The sequence below is a fragment of the Homo sapiens genome, chromosome 2 (assembly GCF_000001405.40).
Source record: "Homo sapiens chromosome 2, GRCh38.p14 Primary Assembly".
Lineage (NCBI taxonomy): Eukaryota > Metazoa > Chordata > Mammalia > Primates > Hominidae > Homo > Homo sapiens.
In genome coordinates this window covers 173,638,759-173,641,792 of record NC_000002.12, presented here as the reverse complement: position 1 = coordinate 173,641,792, position 3,034 = coordinate 173,638,759, and the positions used below count along the sequence as shown (strand labels likewise).

The window sequence follows — 3,034 nt, the reverse complement described above, 5'->3', positions numbered from 1 at the left end:
TTAAAAACAATAATGAAACCACATGTAGAGAAATTACTCAGGAGAAGCTGGAAGAATCTCTATTCCCCCTTTTTCACTCCACTTGGCTCCGCTCATCCCTATATTCTATTGCACGCTGGGATTGAATCTACTGAATTGCAGATCCAAGCTGAGTAGGAGTTTGAAGGAAGTTGCCATGAAAGAGGGTTGGGGGTAGTTAAGGACTTGATTTCTCTTCTGTCTTATATACAATGAGCAGCACAAGTATTTTAGAATAGATAGAAACAGTCTGTAAATCTGAAATAATGTGTCCTGGCATAAGTTCCCTAGCACAGACAGAGCTGAATGCAGATATTCTCTAGGTTGAACAAGGTCTCACTGTCACATCATCATTTGATGGCTGAATGTACTAAAATCCAAAAAGAGTGGCATATTTGCTGAAGAGTAGGAATACTGTGATTAAGCCTTTTGGAAAACAGGTAAAGGCTTTTTGGAACTCACTAAAGGAAATATAGAAGGCATGCCAAGTCATAGTCCTTGCCAGGCATTTCATCCATATAAATATTTAGTTTTCTAATATTCCCTTCTGATGTTCCGGAAGAAAAGGATAGAATCTGACACCTCCTCCATACCACACTTAACACCCTTTCGCTTATTTGATGGTATTACAGATGAACAGTTGAACAACCTCACGTGGGAGCTAAGTTTAAGTCATATTTCTCAATATGCTGGTTTTAGAATGAGTTGGTTTCACTGCATAAATGCGTATCGAACCAGGCAAAAAAGACAAAGAAGATGGGACTGTGTGTGTGTGTGTGTGTGTGAGAGAGAGAGAGAGAGAGGGAAGAGCGAAAGAGAATGGGATTCATTTTCACACTAGGGAGCTTCTGGAGCTAGTCTCTTGCTTTGTCTCTTCATTGTCGTGTAATTACCATCACCAGGTAATACTTACTGAGCACCCTGGTGAGCTCAGCTTTGCTGACCATTTTGCACTTACTTAAAACATCCTCATCATTGCTCAGTAGAAGCTTATGAGCTGATGAAGAACTGACCATGAATCCAGATGAGGAATATCAAGCAACTGTTGTTCTGCATGACATATGGGACAAACTTTAAACATGGAGGGCTATCGCTAGCTGTTTCAGTTTGAATTCCCTAGGCCTCAGTTTGGAGAATTGGACCATGGTCTCTTTATACTCTAACATTCTATTTTTTAATTTATTATTTTCATTTTCATTTATGAACAAACCAAAACTTTCTAAGTTTCATCAAGGACATTATTATAAAGTGTGACATTTTTAACATAAGTGCTTCTCATGTATTATTTCATCCTCATAACAACCCACAACTAACTACTGGAATTCGTATTAGGCTAATGAGAAAAATGAAGTAGCCAAGGACATCTAGTAAGTGGTGGAGCTGGGATCTCAACTTGTTTGATCAGTCTCCTGAGACTGGGGACATGACCACTGAGCTATGCTGACTCCTCACTTCTCCAACCCGTCATAAGTGTCTTCGATTGTGTACTGGATGAAACAGCAGACAGTTGAAGTACCCTGCCTTGGAGTGCTACAGTATCTTTGGGACATAGTTTAACGTTTGATCTTCTAGAACCTCCGCGTCATGGTTTCACCAGCCATCAGCTCTAATACACAACTATCATTTGCACAACTCTTGATTCCTGAAAATTAGCTAGGTCACTAAGTATGTCAGCTGTAATAATGTAGCAGCTAATTCTTTTAAAAACAGAAAACTGTATATTAGAACTGCCACTGGCAATAAATCTGACCTAGACCATCTATCCTCTCTTAGCTGGAAATTTATCATTATGTAGAAAGTGATTTTGTTCTTTCCAAACCCTCAGCCACCAACTGGGCCAGTTTTTTGCTTCTGCATATTTCATTGAAGTTGCTGCTTGGAAAACAACCAACCATAATTACTTATTTATGTGCATATTTCTGAAACTGTAATAATCGGTGAACCTGCCTTGGATATTTCTGACAACTTGGTTTGCATGAAAGTCCATCAATTTTGTCCTTAAATTCTTTGTTCCTGATGAACTTCTGTAAAAATCTTTGTTCTGGAATAAGAGATGTTCTTTCTAATTCCTCCAAACTGTGTCTCCTGCTCCCATTGTTAACAAAATCACTAGCTTTCCTCTTTATCTCTCTGGTTCCTTTGTTTCACGTTGTTCTCCTCTTTTTCATTTGTTACCCATGTAATACATGTCATTTTTGGAAAATCAGAAATTGTAAATAAGCAAAAGAAGAGAAGGATGAGGAGGAAGAAAGGAGGAAAAAAGGGGAGGAGAAAAACAAGCTGTTTCAATCTTTTGGTGCTTATGCCCTCTCCCAACCATATAAATATGTACACATATTTTTACTAAAATGTCTACATTGGTGAATAGTTGACATATAATAAATTGCAAATGTAATACATTATATGTAATAGAATTAAGTTAAATTAATTGCACATATAATAAATTGCAGTGTACAATTTAATGTTTTCACGTATGTACATACCTGTGAAACGATGACCACAGTTAAGACAGTGGACATACCCAGCCCCCTCAAAGTGATGGGAATGCAATTGTCACTTGCAATCCCTCCATCCTGCCTCTGATTTCCTGCCCTCCCCCTTATTGTCCATCATTAGGCAACTATAGATCTGCTTTTTGTCACTATAGGTTAAATTTTCTAGAATTTTATATACATGGTGTCATACATTATGTACTGTTTTTTATCTGGCTCTTTCACTCAGCATAAATTATCTTGAGATTCATCCATGTTGTAGCATGGTGATTAATTGTTTACCCCTTTTCACTGCTGAATAGAATTCCATTTTGTGGATATTCCAGTTTGTTTATCCTTCTACCCATTAAGGAGATTTGGTTTGTTTCCTCTTTTGGCTATTATAAATCAAGCTTCTATGGACATTTGTATAAAATTCTTTGTATGGATATAAGCTTTATTTCTCTTGGTTAGAAACCTAGGAGTGGAATGACTGAATAACACAGTAGTATGTTTAACTTTTTATGAAACTGCCAAATTGTTTC

General features: G+C 37.3%; 1 annotated feature.

Moving 5' to 3' along the window:
- Positions 652-1,200: an enhancer, noted in NCBI's record as "OCT4-NANOG hESC enhancer chr2:174505321-174505869 (GRCh37/hg19 assembly coordinates)". NCBI's record gives its function as "activates a minimal SCP1, AML or CMV promoter by ChIP-STARR-seq in naive H9 embryonic stem cells {active_cell/tissue: H9 hESC(naive)}" and the evidence as "EXISTENCE:reporter gene assay evidence [ECO:0000049][PMID:30033119]".